The sequence below is a fragment of the Homo sapiens genome, chromosome 17, assembly GCF_000001405.40.
Source record: "Homo sapiens chromosome 17, GRCh38.p14 Primary Assembly".
NCBI lineage: Eukaryota > Metazoa > Chordata > Mammalia > Primates > Hominidae > Homo > Homo sapiens.
This window is the reverse complement of record NC_000017.11, coordinates 19,683,440-19,702,494: the sequence shown is the minus strand read 5'-3', so window position 1 is coordinate 19,702,494 and position 19,055 is coordinate 19,683,440. Positions and strand designations below refer to the sequence as shown.

Below are 19,055 nucleotides of genomic sequence, written 5' to 3'. Positions count from 1 at the left end.
GGGCTAACTGTATAGTAAGTGCCCAAAGTATTTGCTGATAATAGTTCCATTCTTATTTCAAACAGTGACTTCCCTCTTCTTCTGCAATTTACACGAGCTCAAAAGTGAATGCAGATTAGCAAAGAACTGAAAAATTGCAGCAGTGTAAAGCCACAAATCTTTTTCTTCCGGATTCCTCATGAGCTGGGACCATGACATTGACCTGTGCCCCAGGCTGGCCAGGAGCTGAATGGCAACCATATCCTGTTGCCAGCACAGAGGGACATTTCTACAAGGGAACGAGCCCACCCAGAACACAGAAGGAACTGGACTTTCTGCTCCTTTGATCACTAAAGGACAGGTGTCATTTAACACAGATTTGAATTATGTAATTTTTTTTTTTTTTTGAGACAGGGTCTCGCTTTGTCACCCAGGCTGGAGTGCAGCAGTGCGATCATGGCTCACTGCAGCCTCAACCTCCTGAGCTCAAGTGATCCTCTCACCTCAGCCTCCTGAGTAGCTGGGACTACAGGTGCATGCCACCACATCCAGCTAATTTTTAAATTTTCGTATTTTTTGTAGAGACAGGGTCACACTATGATAGGTGGAATCCTCTCCTGGTGGGCCTTCCAACGTTGGCCTGAGTCACTAGCCTGGGCCAGAGGAAGGCTGGCATGGTGGAGGCATGGCTGGCCTCGGGAGCTGCCAGGTTTATCTTCCAAGCCCTGGCTGGCCTTGAACTCCTGGGCTCAAGTGATCCTCCCATATCAGCCTCCCAAAGTGCTGGGACAATAGGCATGAACTACTGTGCCCAGCTATGATTTTTTAAAAACACAAGAAAACAACAAAACCCAAAACACTAAACTCTTGCTTAATAAGCAGAATTTGAACTCATAGCTCTCCTACTTTGCATCTGGAGTTACGTGAATTCTTCAGGAACACACCCCTTGCATACATTCCCATAGCTCTGCAGAAGGATATGCCCTTACTTAGCAATACTGGCGCATTCCAGCCCTTTCCCTACCTGGGGAAAAAACACTTGCATAATAATTACCAACTCATTACAAATCTACTGAAAGAAATCATATTTATGGAGGATATTTCCAAAGGCCTCTGTGTACTCCATCCAGTTCGCTAACTATTCTAGGATTTATTTTTGAATATAGCCGGGCATTCAGAAAGCGACAAGCTCGGGCCACATGTTCTTAGCCTCAGCAGAAATTCCCTCTCTGGGCTGTGTTCTGGCATCATATTTGTGGCCTTTATCAAGGAACATTAAATGAAACTACTTTATGGAGCCCATTATTGCTTTTGTCATAGGATACTATTTTTTTTTTTTTTTTTTTTTGAGACAGAGTCTCATTCTGTCGCCCAGGCTGGAGTGCAGTGGTGTGATCTTGGTTCACTGCAACCTCCACCTCCTGGGTTCAAGTGATTCTCATGCCTCAGCCTCCCGAATAGCTGGGATTACAGGCATGCACCCCCATGCCTGGCTAATTTTTGTATTTTTAGTAGAGACAGGGTTTCACCATGTTGGCCAGGCTAGTCTCAAACTCCTGACCTCAGGTGACCCACCCGCCTCGGCTTCCCAAAATGCGCTGGGATTACAGGTGTGAGCCACCGCACCTGGCCTGGATACTGTTAAAAGACACTATTCATACTTTTTCTCTAGTGTCTGGGTGAGACCACACCTGAGAAATCATTCTTGAAATTGAAAGCTAGGAATAGCTTTGCTTTTTTTTTTTTTTTTTTGAGACAGGTCTCACTCTGTCACCCAGGCTGGAGTGCAGTGGTGCCATCTCAGCTCACTGCAGCCTCGACCACCTGGGCCCAAGCAATCCTCCTACCTCAGCCTCCTGAGTAGCTGGGACTACAGGTGTGCACTACCATGCCTGGCTAATTTTCTTTTTAAAGTTTTGTAGAGATGGAATCTTGCCATGTTGTCCAGGCTAGTCTTGAGCTCCTGGGCTTAAGCAGTCCTCCTGCCTTGGCCCCCAAAGTGCTAGGATTACAGGCATAAGCCATGGCACCTGGCCCAGCATTTCTTAAGAAATTAAGTATGCCTCCCCTTCCAGGGGGCAGTAGTTCTCTAGTCACTTGGCTACCAAGAAACTCCGAGTCAGGTTTACAGAGAACAGTTACCAGGGCCTGAGGGCTTGTGTATGTGCAGCCCATCATTTTTCCTCCTGGCTAGTCGGTTTTTTCTTAATTTACATTTTCCATGAGCCTTATTTTTATATTTTGTAAACTTTTAGTGAGTTATAATTTACATATGATAAAATTCATATATAAGTATACAACTCAGTGATTTTAAATGAATTTGGAGTTATGTAACCATCACCACCATCTAGTTTTCCATCACCCCGCAGAATTTCCTGGAGACTGTTTTGTAGTTAATCCCTGCTCCCATCTCCTGCCCTGGGCAATCCACTGCATTGCTTTCTGTCTGTATGAACAATTTCATATAAGTAGGGTCTTATGATATGCAGTCCTGTGTCTGGCTGCTTCTCCTTAGCATACTGTTTTTGAGGTTCATCAATGCTGCAGCATGCGTCACTGCTTCATTCCTTTTATTACCGAGTAGTTCCATTGTATGGAAATACTGCCTTTGTTTATCCATTCATCAGTGGATGGACATTTGGGTTGTTTCTAGTTTTTGCTATCATCAATAATGCTGTTTAGAATGTTCACGTGGAAGTCTTTGTGTGGATTTGTTTTCATTTCTTTTAGTAGAGTTCTGGGAGTTGAACTGTTAAGTCAAATGATAACTTTATTTTTAGCTTTTTAAGAAACTGCCAGCCAGGTGCAGTAGAGCTCATGCCAGCATACCAGTGCTGGTAATCCCAGCACTTTGGGAGGCTGAGGTGGGAGGATCATTTCAACCAAGGAGTTTGAGACCAGCCTGGGCAACATAGGGAGACCCTATCTCTACAAAAGTTTTTAAAAATTAGCTGGGGGAGGGGGTCGGCGGGGAGGCGGGGTTGGCACACACCTATAGTCTTCGCTACTTGGGAGGCTGAGGCAGGAGGATTGCTTGAGCCCAACAGTCCAAGGCTATAGTCAGCTATGATTATACCACTGCACTCCAGCCTGGGCAACAGAGTGAGACCCCCATCTCTAAAAATAAAGTAAAATAAAAAATTTTAAAAAGTCACGGTGTAACCCAAATTCACCTAAATTTTCTATTATTTTGTAGGAGTTTTATACTTTTGCATGTTGCTTTTATGTCTGTGGTTTTAACTTTTGTAAAACAGGATATCTAAATTCATTATTTTGTATGTGGATGTCCAGTTGTTCCAGTACCATTTCTTGGAAAAAAAAAACTAGGCTTTCTCCAGTTGCCTTTGCTCCTTTGTCAAAATCAGTTGACTGTATTTGTATGGGTCTATTTCTGGGCTCTCTCTTCCATTCCAGTGATCTTTTTTGTCTATTCTTTCACCAATAGAATCATTCCTAGGTATCCTTGGGCAATTGGTTCCAGGACCCCGCAAGGTACCAAAATCCACAGATGCTCAAGTTCCTGATATAAAACGGCAGAGAATTTGCCTATAACCTATGCCCATCCTCCTATGAGTTTAAATCATCTCTAGATTACTTATAATTCCTAGTACAATGTAAAAGCTATGTAACAGTTGCTATGCTGTTTATTTTTTTATTGTTGTATTATTGTTTTTCAAATATTTTTGATCCATGGCTGGTTGCATCCACGGATGCAGAAGCTGTGGGTATGGAGGGCTGGCTATATACTTAACACTGCTGACCTGTACACTTAAAAACATTTAAGACAGCACATTTTATGTGTATTTTATCAAAATTAAAAGAATTTTTTTTAATCAACCCTGACATAAAGTATTGATACAAGGCTGGGTGCAGTGGCTCATGCTTGTAATCCCTGGACTTTGGGAGGCTGAGGCAAAGGAGGTCCTCACTTGAGGTCAGGAGTTCAAGACCAGCCTGGCCAACATGGCGAAACCTGTCTCTACAAAAAATACAAAAATTAGCCAAGCATGGTGGCACATGTCTGTAATCCCAGGTACTCCAGTGGCTGAGCATGAGAATTGCTTGAAGCCGGGAGGTGGAGGTTGCAGTAAGCCAATATTGCGCCACTGTACTCCAGCTTGGATGACAGAGCAAGACTCTGTCTCAAAAAAATAAATAATAAAAAAAGTACTGATACGAGAAGTAACTGAGCTAACATGTATGAAAGTGTCTGAAACACAGTAGCCATTTAATAGACATTAGGGTTGACTATAATGCAACAGACAAGACCTTGTGGACAACTTTACCATGCTGTCTTGATCACTGCAGCTTTATAGTAATTCTCGAAATTGGGTAGTATCACTCCTCCAACATCGCTTTTCTTTGTAAATGTTGCGTTTTGAGTCTTTTCCCTTTCTACATAAGCTTTAGAATCAGTTTGTCAATATCTACAAAACAAGCTGCTGGATGGCTTTTCCTTTCTTGTTGCAGCCATCCCAGTGGGGATATGCTACTATGTCACTGTGGTCTCAGTGTGCATTTCTCTAATGACGAGCCCCTTTTTGTGTGTTTATCATTCATTCATATGTAGCCTTCAGTGAAATTTCTATTTTAGTCTTTTGCCCATTTTAAAAATTAAGTAGGCTAGGTGTGATGACTCAAGTCTATAAAACCATCACTTTGGGAGGCTAAAGAAAGAGGTTGGCTTGAGCCCGGGAGGTCAAGACCAGCCTTGGTGACATGGCAAGATACCATCTCTACAAAACATTAAAAAAAAAAAAAAAAGCTGGGCATAGTGGTGCATATCTGTAGTCCCAGCTACTAGGGAGGCTGAGGTGGGAGGATAGCTTGTGCCCAGAAGTTCAAGGCTGCAGTGAGCTATGACTGCATCACTGCACTCTGGGCTGGGTGACAGAGCAAGGCCCTGTCTCAATCTACAAAATAAATAAAACAAATTTTAAAAATATGAAAATATAATATTTGGTAGCTGGTTGTATTTGCTTGCTAAGTGCTTTGGTTTGAATGTGTCCTCCGAAGTTCATATGTTTATGTAACAGTGTTGAGAGATAGAACTTTTTTTGGTTGTCTTTTTGTTTTTTTGAGACAAAGTCTCATGATGTCACCCAGGCTGGTCTTGAACTCCTGGCCTCAAGCAACCCTCCTGCCTCAGTCTCCCAAAGTGTGCCCTGTCGAGGTGGGACCTTTAAGAGAAGGATTAATGTCATTATCTTTTTCCTTTGAGACGGAGTCTTGCTCTGTCTCCCAGGCTGGAGTGTAGTAGCACGATCTCAGCTCACTGCAAGCTCCACCTCCCGGGTTCATGCCATTCTCCTGCCTCAGCCTCCCGAGTAGCTGGGACTACAGGCATGCACCACCTACACCTGGCTAATTTTTTTTATTTTTATTTTTAGTAGAGACAGGGTTTCACCGTGTTAGCCAGGATGGTCTCGAACTCCTGACCTCGTCATCCGCCCGCCTCAGCCTCCCAGAGTGCTGGGATTACAGGCGTGAGCCACCACGCCTGGCCTTAATGTCATTATCTTAAGAGCAGGTTAGTTATTTCAAGAGTCGGTTCCTGACAAAAGGATGAGTCTGGCCCCCTTCCCCTCTTTCTTGTGTGCTCTTTTGCCCTTCAGGCATTGGGATGATACAGCAAGAAGGCCCTCAACAGATGTTGTCACTTGATCTGGGACTTCCCAGCCTCCAGAACCGTGAGCCAAATAAATTTCTGTTCATCATAAATTACTCAGTCTAGGGTATTATGTTATAGCAACACAAAATGGACTAAGACACTAGCACTGCCATAACAAAGTACCAAAAATTGGATGGCTTACATAACAGAAATTTACTGTCTTACAGTTCTGGAGACCAGATATCCTAAATCAAGGTGTCAGCAGGGTCATACTTATACTTCCTTTGAAGGCACTAAAGAAGGATCTGTTCTGGGCCTCTCTTCTAGCTCTGGTAGCCTCAGGGGTTTCTTGGATTGTAGATGGTCATCTTTTCCCTGTCTCTTCAAGTCTTCCTTCCATGTCTGTCTCTGTCCAAATTCTCTCTATTTTTTTTTTTTTTTTTTGAGATGGAGTCTTGCTATGTTGCCAGGCTGGAGTGCAGTACTGCAATCTGGCCTTACTGCAACCTCCACCTCCTGGGTTCAAGCAATTCTCCTGCCTCAGCCTCCCAAGTAGCTGGGACTACAGGTGCGCACCACTCTGCCTGGCTAATTTTTTTTTTTTTTTTTGTATTTTAGTAGAAATGGGGTTTCACCATGTTGGCCAGGATGGTCTTGATCTCCTGATCTCATGATCTGCCCACCTCGGCCTCCCAAAGTGCTGGGATTACAGGTGTGAGCCACCGCACCAGGCCCAAATTCCCTCTTTTAATAAGGACACCAGTCATATTGGATTAGGGCCTACCTTAATGACTCCATCTTAACTTGATCATCAGCAAAGGCCTTATTTCCAAATAAGGTAACATTCACAGGTACTGAGAGTTAGAATTTCAACATCTTTTGGCCAGACACAGTGGCTCACACCTGTAATCGCAGCACTTAGGGAGGCTGAGGTGGCAGATCACCTGAGGTCAGGAGTTCAAGACCAGCCTGGCCAAAATGGTGAAACCCCCATCTCTACTAATAATACAAAAATTAGCTGGGCGTGATGGCACACACCTGTAATCCCAGCTACTCAGGAGGCTGAGGCAGGAAAATTGCTTGAACCTGGGAGGTGGAAGTTGTAGTGAGCCAAGGTTGTGCCATTACACACCAGCCTAGATGACAAGAGCGAAACTCCACCTTAAAAAAAAAAAAAGGAATTTCAGTATCTTTTGTGGGAGACACAATTCAACCCATAACATTTATTATTAGTTATAAGAGTTCTTTATATATTCTGGATACAAGTCCTTTATCAAGCTTTATGATTTGCAAACCCAGGCTGTGGCTTATCTTTTTAAATTAAATTTTATTTTTTAAATTCACAGATAAATATATTTATGGTATACATTTTTTCTTTTTTTTTTTTTTGCTGTTTTTTTTTTTTGTTCTTTGTTTTTTTTTTAAGACAGGTCTCACTCTGTTGCCCAGGCTGGAGTGCAGTTGGCACCATCATAGCTCACTACAGAACTCCTGGGCTCAGACCATTCTCCCACCTCAGCCTCCCAAAGTGCTGGGATTACAGGCATGAGCCAATGCACCCAGCCACTATGTTTGTATATATGTAAACATTTCACTATGTTTAGACATTGTGAAATGGCTAAATCAAGCTAATTAACATATGCATTACCTTACATAATTCTAATTTTCTTGTGGTGAGAACATTTAAAATATACTATTACCAATTTTCAAGTATACAATAGTTAACATGTTGTACAGTAGGTCTCTTAAACTTTTTCTTCCTGTCTAACTGAATCATTTTCTTAATGGTATCTTTTGAGTTGCAAAAGTTTTCACTTTCAATGTAGTCCAATTTCTTAATTTCTTTTATGGCTCATGCTTTTGCTATTTTATATATAAGAACTCTGCCTAACCCAAGGTCACAAAGATTTTCTCCTCTGTTTTCTTTAAAAAGTTTTAATGTTAAGTCTTTCTTACATTTAGGTTTATGATCCTTTTTTTTTTTTTTTTGAGATGGAGTCTTGCTCTTTTACCCGGGCTGGAGTGCAGTGGCACAATCTGGGCTCACTGCAACCTCTGCCTCCCGGGTTCAAGCGATTCTTCTGCCTCAGCCTCCTGAGTAGCTGGGACTACAGGTGTGTGCCACCTCGTCCGGCTAATTTTTGTATTTTTAGTAGAGATGGGGTTTCACCATGTTGGCCAGGCTGGTTTCGAATTCCTGACCTCGTGATCCACCCGCCTTGGCCTCCCAAAGTGCTGGGATTACAGGTGTGAGCCACAGCGCCTGGCCTCTGATCCATTTTTAGTTCATTTTTGTGTATAATATGAGGTAAGGGTTTAAATTCATTTTTTACATATGGATATCCAATTGTCCTGGCACCATTTGTTAGCACATGAAAGACTCATTTCTCCAGTACTAAGTTTCTTGGAAACACAGTTGAAAATCAACTGACCATAAATGTAGTGGTTTACTTCTGAATTCACAATTCCGTTCCATTGATTTATGTCTATGCTATGCCATTGTGACAGTCTTAATTACTGTAGCTTTACAGGGAGTTTTGTAATCAGGTACTATTAATATACCAACTGTTCTTTTCTGTCCCCAAACTCTTTTGACTCTTTTAGGTCCTTTGCATTTTTGTATGTATTTTAGAATCAGCTTATCAATTCCTACTAAAAAGCATGCTGAGATTTTGAAAAGAATTGTGTTGAATCTATAGATCAATTTGGACAGAACTGTCATCTTAACAATATTGAGGCCTCCAATCCATGGGCACAGAATGTCTCTAGTTATTTAGAACTTCTTTATCTCGGCAATGTTTTATAGTCTTCAATGGACAAATCTTATACTTCTTTTGTTAAATTTATCCCAAAGAATTTTATTCTTTGGATGCTACTGTGAATGAAATTGTTTTCTTAATTTCATTTTAGATTGTTCATGTTTATAAAAAATCAATTGATTTTTTGATTATTGATCCTTTATCCTGTGACCTTGTTCTAATAGTTTGTGTGTCTGAGCTCCTTAAGATTTTCTACATGTAGGATCATGTCATCTGTGAATAGACACTTTTACTTCTGCTTTCCAATTTGGGGAGAACCTCCAATACAATGTTGTTTTGTTTTGTTCTGAGACGGAGTCTCGCTCTGTCGCCCAGGCTAGAGAGCAATGGCGCGATCTTGGCTCACTGCAAGCTCCGCCTCCCAAGTTCAAGCGAGTCTCCTGCCTCAGCCTCCCAAGTAGCTGGGACTACAGGCACGCAACTCCGTGCCTGGCTAATTTTTATTTATTTATTATTATTATTATTATTATTATTTTTAGTAGAGACGGGGTTTCACCATTGGCCAGGGTGGTCTCCAACTCCTGACCTAAGGTGATCCACCCTCCTCAGCCTCCCAAAGTGCTGGGTTTACAGGTGTAAGCCACTGTGCCCAGCTCTCCAGTACAATGTTGAATCCAAGTGTAAAGAGCATACATCTGAGCCTTGATTCCACTATTAAGGGGAAAGTATTCGAAGTATTCAGTCTTTCTGTGTTAAATTTTATCTGTAGCATTTCCCTAAATGCCCTTTTTCAAGTTGAGAAAGATCCCTTCTAATTCCTAGTTTGTTGAGATATCTCATAATTGGGTGCTAGATTTTGCGGAATGCTTTTTCTGCTTCTATTGAGATAATCATGTGGTTTTGTTCTTTATTAATATGGTGTTTTGCATTAATTGTTCTTTATTAATATGCTGTTTTGTATTAATTGATTTTCAGGTGTTATACCTTGCATTTCTGGGATAAACCTCTTTTTTTTTGAGACAGAGTCTCACTCCGTCGCCAGGCTGGAGTGCAGTGGCGTAATCTGGGCTTACTGCAATCTCTGCCTCCCGGGTTCAAGCAATTCCCCTGCCTCAGCCTCCCAAGTAGCTGGGATTACAGGCACGCACCACCACACCTGGCTAATTTTTGTACTTTGAGTAGAGATGGGATTTCACCATGTTGGCCAGGATGGTCTTGATCTCCTGACCTCGTGATCCACCTGCCTCGGCCTCCCAAAGTGCTGGGATCAGAAGCATGAGCCACTGCGCCTGGCCCGGATAAACCTCTCTTGATCATGGTGTATATATTTTCTGTATATTACTAAATTTGGTTTGCTAATATTTTGTTAAAAATTCTGAGTCTGTGTTCATGAGGAACATTTGTAATTTTTATTTTTTGTTATCTTGATCTGGCTTTTGTGTAAGGGTAACATTGGCTTTACAGAATGAGTTTGGAAGTATTCTCTCCTCCAGTACTTTCTAAAAGAGTTTGTGAAGAACTGACATTATTTCTTGTTTAAATATTGAATACAATTCATCGGTAAGGTCATGTGGGCTTTGGCTTTTGTCAGAAGAGTTTAAATTATAAATTCAATCTATTTACTTGGTATAGGTCTATTCAGATTTCCTATTTCTTGTTAAGTTAGTTTCAGTAATTTGTGCCTTTCTAGGAATTTACTCACTTCACCTTAATTGTTTAATTCCTTTGCATGAAGTTGCTCTTCATATTTCCTTTAATTTTCTTCTTTATGGTCAGCAGTGATGCTCTCATTTTCATTTCTGATTTTGGTAATCTATGTCTAACTCTCTTTGTTTTTTGGTTTTATTTTACCAAGATCAGATCCTTGGTAAGCGTGGGTCAATTTTATGGATCTTTTCTTTTTCTTTTTTTTTTTTTTGACATGGAGTCTCGCTCTGTTGCCCAGGCTGGAGTGCAGTGGCACGATCTTGGCTCATTTCAACCTCTGCCTTCCGAGTTCAAGCGATTCTCCTGCGTCAGCCTCCTGAGTAGCTGGGACTACAGGTGCCCACCACCACATCTGGCTAATTTTTATATCTGTGGTAGAGACGGGGTTTCACCATGTTGGCCAGGCTGGTCTCGAATTCCTGACCTTATGATCTGCCCACCTAGGCCTCCCAAAGTGCTGGGATTACAGGCGTGAGCCACTGCGCCAGCCAATTTTATGGATCTTAAGAACTAACTTTTGTTTTTATTAATTTTCTCTGGTTGTTTATTTATCTTAATAGGTACATATTAGATGTATATATTTATGGGGTACATGAGATATTTTGATAAGGCATGCAATGCCTAATAATCAGGATAAATGGGGTTTTCATCACCTCAAGCATTAATCATTTCTTTGTGCTACAATCAATCCAATTATACTTTTATTTTAAAATGTATAATAAATTATTGTTGCCTATAATTACGCTGTTGTGCTGTCAAATGCTAGATCTTATTCATTCTATCTAACTACATTTTTGTACCCATTAACCATCCCCATTCCCTCTCCCACTATCCATCCCAGCCTCTAGTAACCATCATTCTATTCACTATCTCCATGAGTTCAATTGTTTTAATTTATGTCTCCTACAAACGAGTGAGAATGTACAAAGTCTGGCTTTCTGTGCCTGGCTTATTTCACCTAACATAATTTCCTCCAGGTCCATGCATGTTGTTGCAAGTGACAGGATCCTATTCCTTTTTATGGCTGACTAGTACTCCATTGTATATACGTGCCACATTTTCTTCATCCATTCATCTGTTCATGGATACTTAGGTTGCTTGCAAATCTCGGCTATTGTGAATAGTGCAATAAATATGGGAGTGCAGGTATCTCTTCGCTATACTAATTTCCTTTCTTTTGAGTATATACCTAGCAGGATTGCTGGATCACGTGGTAGTTCTTAGTTTTGTGAGGAACTTCCATACTGTTCTCCACAGTGGCTGTACTAATTTACATTCCCACCAACAGTGTACAAGGGCTCCCTTTTTTTTTTTTTAGACGGAGTTTCGCTCTTGTTGCCCAGGCTGGAGTACAATAGCGCAATCTCGGCTCACTGCAACCTCCGCCTCCCAGGTTCAAGCAATTCTCCTGCCTCAGCCTTCCCGAGTAGCTAGGATTATAGGCATGCACCACTACGCCCAGCTAATTTTGTATTTTTTTTAGTAGAGAAGGGGTTTCTCCATGTTGGTCAGGCTGGTTTAGAACTCCCGACCTCAGGTGATCCGCCCACCTCGACCCCCCAAGGTGCTGGGATTACAGGCCGTGAGCCACCGTGCCCGGCCAAGGGGGGTTCCCTTTTCTTCATGTCCTCCCTAGCATCCATTAGTGCCTGCCTTTTGAATAGAAGCCATTTTAACTGGGGTGAGATGATATCTCATTGTAGTTTTGATGTGCATTTCTCTAACGATCAGTGATGTTGGGCATCTTTTCATATATGTTTGCCATTTGTATGTCTTCTTTTGAGAAATGCCTATTCAGATCTTATACATTTTAGGATTATTTTTTCTATTTCTGTCCATTTTTAAATCGGATTAGATTTTTTTCTATAGAGTTGTTTGAGCTCCTTATATATTCTGGTTATTAATCTCTCATCAGATTGATAGTTTGCAAATATCTTCTCCCATTCTGTGGGTGGTTTCTTCACTTTGTTGATTGTTTCCTTTGCTGTACAGAAGCTTTTTAACTTGATGTGATCTCATTTATCCATTTTTGCCTTGGCTGCTTGTGCTTTGGGGGTATTATTCAAGAAATCTTTGCCCAGATCAATTTCCTGGAGAGTTTTCCCAAAGTTCTTCTTCTAGTAGTTTCATGGTTTGAGGTCTTCAGTTCAAGTCTTTAGTCCATTTTGAATTGATTTTTGTATACGGTGAGAGATAGGGGTCTAGCTTCATTCTTCTACGTATGAATATCCAGTTTTCCTGGCATTATTTATTGAAGAGACTGTCCTTTCCCCCATGTATGTTCTTGGCACCTTTGTCAAAAATGAGTTCACTGTAGATGCATGGATTTACTTCTGGGTTCTCTATTCCGTTCCATTAGTCTGTGTGTCTATTTTTATGCCAGTACTATGCTGTTTTGGTTACTACAGCTCTGTAGTATAATTTGAAGTTAGGTAATGTCATTCCTCCAGTTTTGTTCTTTTTGCTCAGGATGGCTTTAGCTATTCTGAGTCTTTTGTGGTTCCATATAAATTTCAGTATTATTTTTTCTATTTCTGTGAGGAACATCATTGGTATCTTAATAGGGATTACATTGAATCTGTAGAATGCTTTGGGTAGTATGAACGTTTTAACAATATTAATTCTTCCAATCCATGAACATAGAATATCCATTTTTTGTGTGTCCTCTTCAATTTGTTGCATCAATGTTTTATAGTTTTCATTGTAGGGATCATTCATTTCTTTTTCTTTTTTTTTTTTTTTGAGACAAGGTCTCACTCTGTCACTTAGGCTGGAGTGCAGTGGCATGATCATGGCTTACTGCAGCCTTGACCTCCTGAGCTCAGGTGATCCTCTCACTTCAGCCTCCTGAGTAGCTGGGACCATGGGTGCATGTCACCACACCCAGATAATTTTTGTATTTTTTGTGGAGACAGGGTTTCGCCATGTTGCCCAGGCTGGTCTTGAACTCCTGGTCTCAAGAGACCCACTCACCTTGGACTCCCAAAGTGCTAGGATTACAGGCATAAGCCAGCGTGCCTGGCCATCTTTCATTTCTTTGATTAAGTTTATTCCTAAGTATTTTACTTGTAGCTATTGTAAATGGGAATACTCTCTTGATTTTTCAGATTGTTTGCTGTTGGCATACAGAAATGCTACTGATTTTTGTATGTTGATTTGTTGGATTTATCAGTTCAAATAGTTGTTTGGTGGGGGTCTTTAGGTTTTTCCAAATATAAGATCCTATCATCTGGGCCAGACATGGTGGCTCACAACTGTAATCCCAGCATTTTGGGAGGCTGAGGCAGGAGGACTGCTTGAGGCCAGGAGTTTGAGACCAGCCTGGGCAACACAGTGAGACCCTATCTCTCCAAAAAGATTTTTAAGTTAGCCAGGAATGGTGGTACATCTCTACTAAAATAAAAAAGTAACCAGGTATGGTGGTGCATGCCTGTAGTCCTAACTACTTGAGAGGCTGAGGTGGGAGGACTGCTTGAGCTCAAGAGGTCAAGGCTGCAGTAAGCTGTGAATGCACCATTGCACTCCAGTCTGGATGACACAGCGAGACCCTCTCTCTTAAAAAAAAAAAAAAAGATATCACCAGCGGGGCACAGTGACTCACGCCTGTAATCCCAGCATTTTGGGAGGCCGAGGTGAACAGATCATTTGAAGTCAGGAGTTCAAGACTAGCCTGGCCAACATGGTGAAACCTTGTTTCTACTAAAAAAAATACAAAAATTAGCCAGGCTTTGTAGTGCAGGCAGTGCAGTGTAATCCCAGCTACTTGGGAGGATGAGGCAGAGAAGTCCCTGAACCCTCCAGCCTGGGCAACAGAGCGAGACTCCATCTCCAAAAACAAAACAAACAAACAAAAAAGATGATATCACCTGCGAACAAGGATAATTTGATTTCCTTTTCAATCTGGATGCACTTTCTTTCTCTTGTCTGCTCTAGCTAGGACTTCCAGTACTATTTTGAATAACAGTGGTGAAAGTGGGTATCCTTGTCCTGTTCTAGATCTTAGAGGGAAGGCTTCCAATTCTCCCGTTTGGTATGATACTAGCTGTGGGTCTGTTGTATAAGGCTTTTATTGTGTTAATGTTCCTCCTATACCCAGTTTTTTTGAGTTTTTTTTTTTAATCATGAAGGGATGTTGAATTTCATCAAATGCTTTTCAGCATCAATTGAAATCATATGGTTTTTGTCCTTAATTCTCTTGATATGATGTATCATACTGATTGGTTTGCATATGATGAACCATCCTTATATCCCAGAGATAAATCCCACTTGGTCATGATAAATTTGGTATGCTAGTATTTTTGTTGAGAATTTTTGTATCAATGTTTATCAGGGATACTGGTCTGTAGTTTTCTTTTTTTTGATGTGTCTTTGGTTTTGGTATCAAGATAATACTGGCCTCATTATAGAATGAGTTTGGAAATATTCCTCCCTCCTTTATTTTTTTGAACAGATTTAATAGGACTGGTATTGGTTCTTTAAGTGTTTAGTAAAATTAAGCAGTGAAGTCATTGGGTCCTGGGCTTTTGCTTGCTAGGAGACTTATGATTACACTTGATCTTAGCCAAAAGGCTGAGAAGTGATAGGAGACTTATTATTACAGCTTCAATCTCATTATTTGTTATTAGTCTGTTCAGGTTTCAGATTTGTTCATGGTTGCATTTTGGTAGGTTGTATGTGTCTAGGAATTTATCCAGTTCTAGGTTTTCCAATTTATTGGTATACAGTTGCTCATAGTAACGTTTAACAATCCTTTGCATTTCTTGGTATTAGTTATGTCTCCTTTTTCACTTCTGATTTTATCTGGATCTTTTCTCTTTTTTTTCTTCATCTGGCTAAAGCTTTGTCTATTTTGTTTATTTTTTCAAAAAAACAACTTTTCATTTCATTGATCTTTTGTATTTTTTTGGTCTGTTTCCATTTAACTTATTTCTGCTCTGACCTTTATTCTTTCTTTTCTTCTACTAATTTTGGGTTTGGTTTGCTCTTGCTTTTCTATGTTTCTGGCTGGCCTCACAGGACACAGACTACTAATTTTGGGTTTGGTTTTCTCTTGCTTTTCTAGTTCTTTAAGATGCATCATTAGGTTATTTATTAGATGTTTTTCCACTTTTTGACGTAGGTGTTTATTCCTATAAACTCTCTTAGTACTGCTTTCATTGTATGACATACGTTTTGATATGTTGTTTCCATTATCATTTGTTTCAAGAAATTTTAAAAATTTCCTTAATTTCTTCATTGACCCACTGGTCATTCAGGAGCATATTAATTTCCATGTGTTTGTATAGTTTCCAAAATTCCTCTTGTTATTGATTTCCAGTTTTATTTCACTGTGGTCAGAGAAAATACCTGATAGGATTTCAATTTTTTCTGAATTTTTTAAGACTTGTTTTGTGACTCAAATATGGTCTGTCCTTGAGAATGATCCATATGTTGAGGAGAAGAATGTGTATTCTGCAGCAGCTGAATGAAATCTTTTGTAAATATCTATTAGGTCTATTTAGTCTCTAGGGCAGATTAAGTCCAATGTTTCTATGTTGACCTTCTGTCTGGATGATCTGTCCAGTGTTGCAAGTGGGATGTTGAAATCTCTAGCTATTATTGTATTGAAATATATTTCTCTCTTTAGTTCTAATAACATCTGCTTTATATATCTGGGTTCTCCAGTGTTGGGTACATATATATTTATAAATGTGATATTCTCTTGCTGAACTGACCCCCTTTATCGTTATACAATGACCTTGTCTCTTTTTACAGTTTTGGTCTTGAAATCTATTTTATCTAAGTATAAACTACTCCTGATCACTTTTGGTTTCAATTTGCATGCAATATCTTTTTCCATCTCTTTATTTTCAGTCTATGTGTGTCTTTGTAGGTGAAGTGTGCATCTTGTAGGCAACAGATCATTGGGTTTTGTTTTTTATCCATTGAGCCACTCTATGTCTTTTGACTAGAGAGTTTTTAGTTCATTTACATTCGATGTTATTATTGATAAGTTAGGACTCAGTCCTGCCATTTTATTATTTATTTTATGGTTTGGTGGTCTTCTCTTCCTTTCTTCTTGTCTTCCTTTTTGTGAAGGTGATTTTCTCTGGTAGTATACTTTTTATTTTTTGTGTATCTTTTGTAGGTTTTTGATTTGAGGCTACCATGAGGCTTGCAATATTATTTATTTATTTGAGACAGGGTCTCGCTCTTGTAGCCCAGGCTGGAGTGCAATGGTGTGATCTTGGCTCACTGCAACCTCTGCCTCCTGGGTTCAAGCGATTCTCCTGCCTCAGCCTCCTGAGTAGCTGGGACTACAGGTGCTCACCTCCATGCCCGGCTAATTTTTGTATTATTAGTAAAGACAGGGTTTCACCATGTTGGCCAGGCTGGTCTTGAACTCCTGACCTCAGGTGAGGTCTTTTGCTTTTGCCTCCCAAAGTGCTGGGATTACAGACATCAGCCACTGTGCCTGGCCAATAATCCATTATTTTTAAACTAGTGACAACTAAATACTGATTGCAAAAACAAACAAGCAGAGAAAATTAAGAAAAACTTTAACTTCATCCCCTGCTGTTTCTTAACTTTGTTGTTTCTATTTATATCTTACACTATGTCTTGAAAAGTAGTTTATTTATTTATTTATTTATTTAGTATTTATTGATCATTTTTGGGTGTTTCTCAGAGAGGGGGATGTGGCAGGGTCATAGGATAATAGTGGAGAGAAGGCCAGCAGATAAACACCAGAACAAAGGTCTCTGGTTTTCCTAGGCAGAGGTCCCTGCGGCCTTCGGCCCTGTTTGTGTCCCTGGGTACTTGAGATTAGGGAGTGGTGATGACTCTTAATGAGCATGCTGCCTTCAAGCATCTGTTTAACAAAGCACATCTTGCACCGCCCTTAATCCATTTAACCCTCCCAGACGGGGCGGCCAGGCAGAGGCGCTCCTCACCTCCCAGATGGGGCGACTGGGCAGAGGCACTCCTCACTTCCCAGACGGGGCGGCCAGGCAGAGGGGCTCCTCACATCCCAGATGATGGGCGGCCAGGCAGAGACGCTCCTCACTTCCTAGACGTGGTGGCAGCCAGGCAGAGGCGCGCCTCACTTCCCAGATGGGGTGGCCAGGCACAGGGGCTCCTCACATCCCAGACGATGGGCAGCCAAGCAGAGACGCTGCTCACTTCCTAGATGGGGTGGCGGGCGGGCAGAGGCTGTAATCTTAGCACTTTGGGAGGCCAAGGCAGGCAGCTGGGAGATGGAGGTTGTAGCAAGCCGAGATCACGCCACTGCACTCCAGCCTGGGCAACATTGAGCATTGAGTGAGCGAGACTCCGTCTGCAATCCCAGCACCTCAGGAGGCCGAGGCGGGCACTTCACCCGAGGCTAGGAGCTGGAGGCCAGCCCGGTCAACACGGCGAAACCCCATCTCCACCAAAAATACAAAAACCAGTCAGGAGTGGCAGCGCGTGCCTGGAATCCCAGGCACTCGGCAGGCCGGGGCAGGAGAATCACCGGAGCCTGAGGCAGGGAGGTTGCAGTGAACCGAGATCATGGCAGTACAGTCCAGGCTCCGCAAGAGAGGGAGACCGTAGAAAGAGGGAGATGGAGAGCGAGAGCAAGAGCGGGAGGGAGAGGGAGAGGGAGAGGGCGAAAAGTAGTTTTTTTAATAGATGCATGTTTTAGTCTTCTGCTGTTTATTTCAATGATTTCACACTAATCTTTTATCTATTTATTTTTTAACTTTTAATTTTTTTTTTTTTTTTGTAGAAAGAGTCTTGCTATATTGCCCAAGCTGGTCTCTAACTCCTGGCCTCAAGCAGTCCTCCTGCCTTGGCCTCCCAAAGTGCTGGGATTACAGGTGTGAGCCACCATGCCTGGCCCACACTAATCTTTTACATTCTTATCCTTTTACTTCATTTAGGTATAGTTTGTTCTTCTTTACTAGCTTCTTAGGGTAGAATAGTAGGTCATTGATTCGAGACCTTTCTCCCTTTCCAATATAGGCATTTGAAGCTGTACATTTCCCTCTAAGCATTGCCTTAGTTGCATCTAATAAATTTTGATGTTCATCAAAATTTTCAAGTTTGAAATATTTTTAAATTTCTCATGTGATTTATTCTTTGACTTATGGTTTAGAAGTGCATTTAATTTCCAAATATTTGGGGTTTTATTTCTGGCAGGCATCTCTAATTTAATTCTGTTGTGGCCAGAGAACATACTTTGTATGAATTCAGTCTTTCAAAATTTGCCAGGCATGATGGAATGTGCCTGTAGTCCCAGGTACTCAGGAGACTGAGATGAGAGCACTACTTGAGCCTAGGAGTTCAAGACCAGCCAGGGTAACATAGCAAGACTCCATCTCTTAAAAAAGATTGTTTTAAGTTTAGTTTATTGAGATTTGTTTTGTGGCCTACCGCAGGTCTATCCTGGAGAATGCTGCATGTGAGACCCAAGGAATGTCATTGTGTTGGTTAAGTAACTTGCTTAGACTGATTCTGTGACTCCTGTCTCCTCTACAATGTACAGCTGCTGATGTCTCTTGCTCAGTTTTTTCCCCCTTGTTCTTATTTTTTTAAGTCTAGCTTTCTAGTTTAAAATGTTCTTTCTAGGATTAAAAATGTCTGCAGAGCTTAGTGTTCAGCCAATTACTGGTCAGAGACTGTGTTCAACACCTCTGATAGCTAGCAAAGCTTCCATTCTCTGCTGACAGATCCATGTGTGGGCTAGAGACGTATTCAGAGTTCCAGCTGTTTTCAAGTGAGTCCTGGCTTTTACTTTCTTCTGGGTACTACGGGTCTCTTCAGCCCATGTGGACAGGCTCCATTGTCCAGGAACATGTGGGAGGCTTGGTCTCTGCTACACCATATGCACAGCCTCTGGTCAGCTTGGGATATGTAGAGAACTTACCAGTACCTCCCCATTCCCTTGGCTGTTTTACCTCATCAAACTCCCTCTTAAATCCCTGCCTAGTCCACTGGTCGATGGCTTCTCCCAAACAGGCCCACAACCTCAGGCTAGC

General features: G+C 41.3%; 1 protein-coding gene across 12 annotated transcripts in view; it reads left to right on the top strand.

Moving 5' to 3' along the window:
- The window catches only part of SLC47A2 (solute carrier family 47 member 2), a 40,663-nt gene that overhangs the window by 16,485 nt on the left and 5,123 nt on the right, over window positions 1–19,055 (top strand). For 3 of the 12 annotated variants that reach the window (XR_001752433.2, XM_047435434.1, XM_017024223.2), the window contains one exon: window positions 66–156. The exons of 8 other annotated variants lie outside the window; for them this stretch is intronic. Coding sequence is in view for 3 of the 4 variants with exons in the window: in XM_047435434.1 (XP_047291390.1) it covers window positions 66–68 (3 nt within the window). In the remaining variant the exon portion in view is untranslated. Of the gene's footprint in view, window positions 1–65; window positions 3,134–19,055 lie in introns of those variants that run through there. One more of the 12 variants, XM_047435435.1, reaches the window with a different exon arrangement.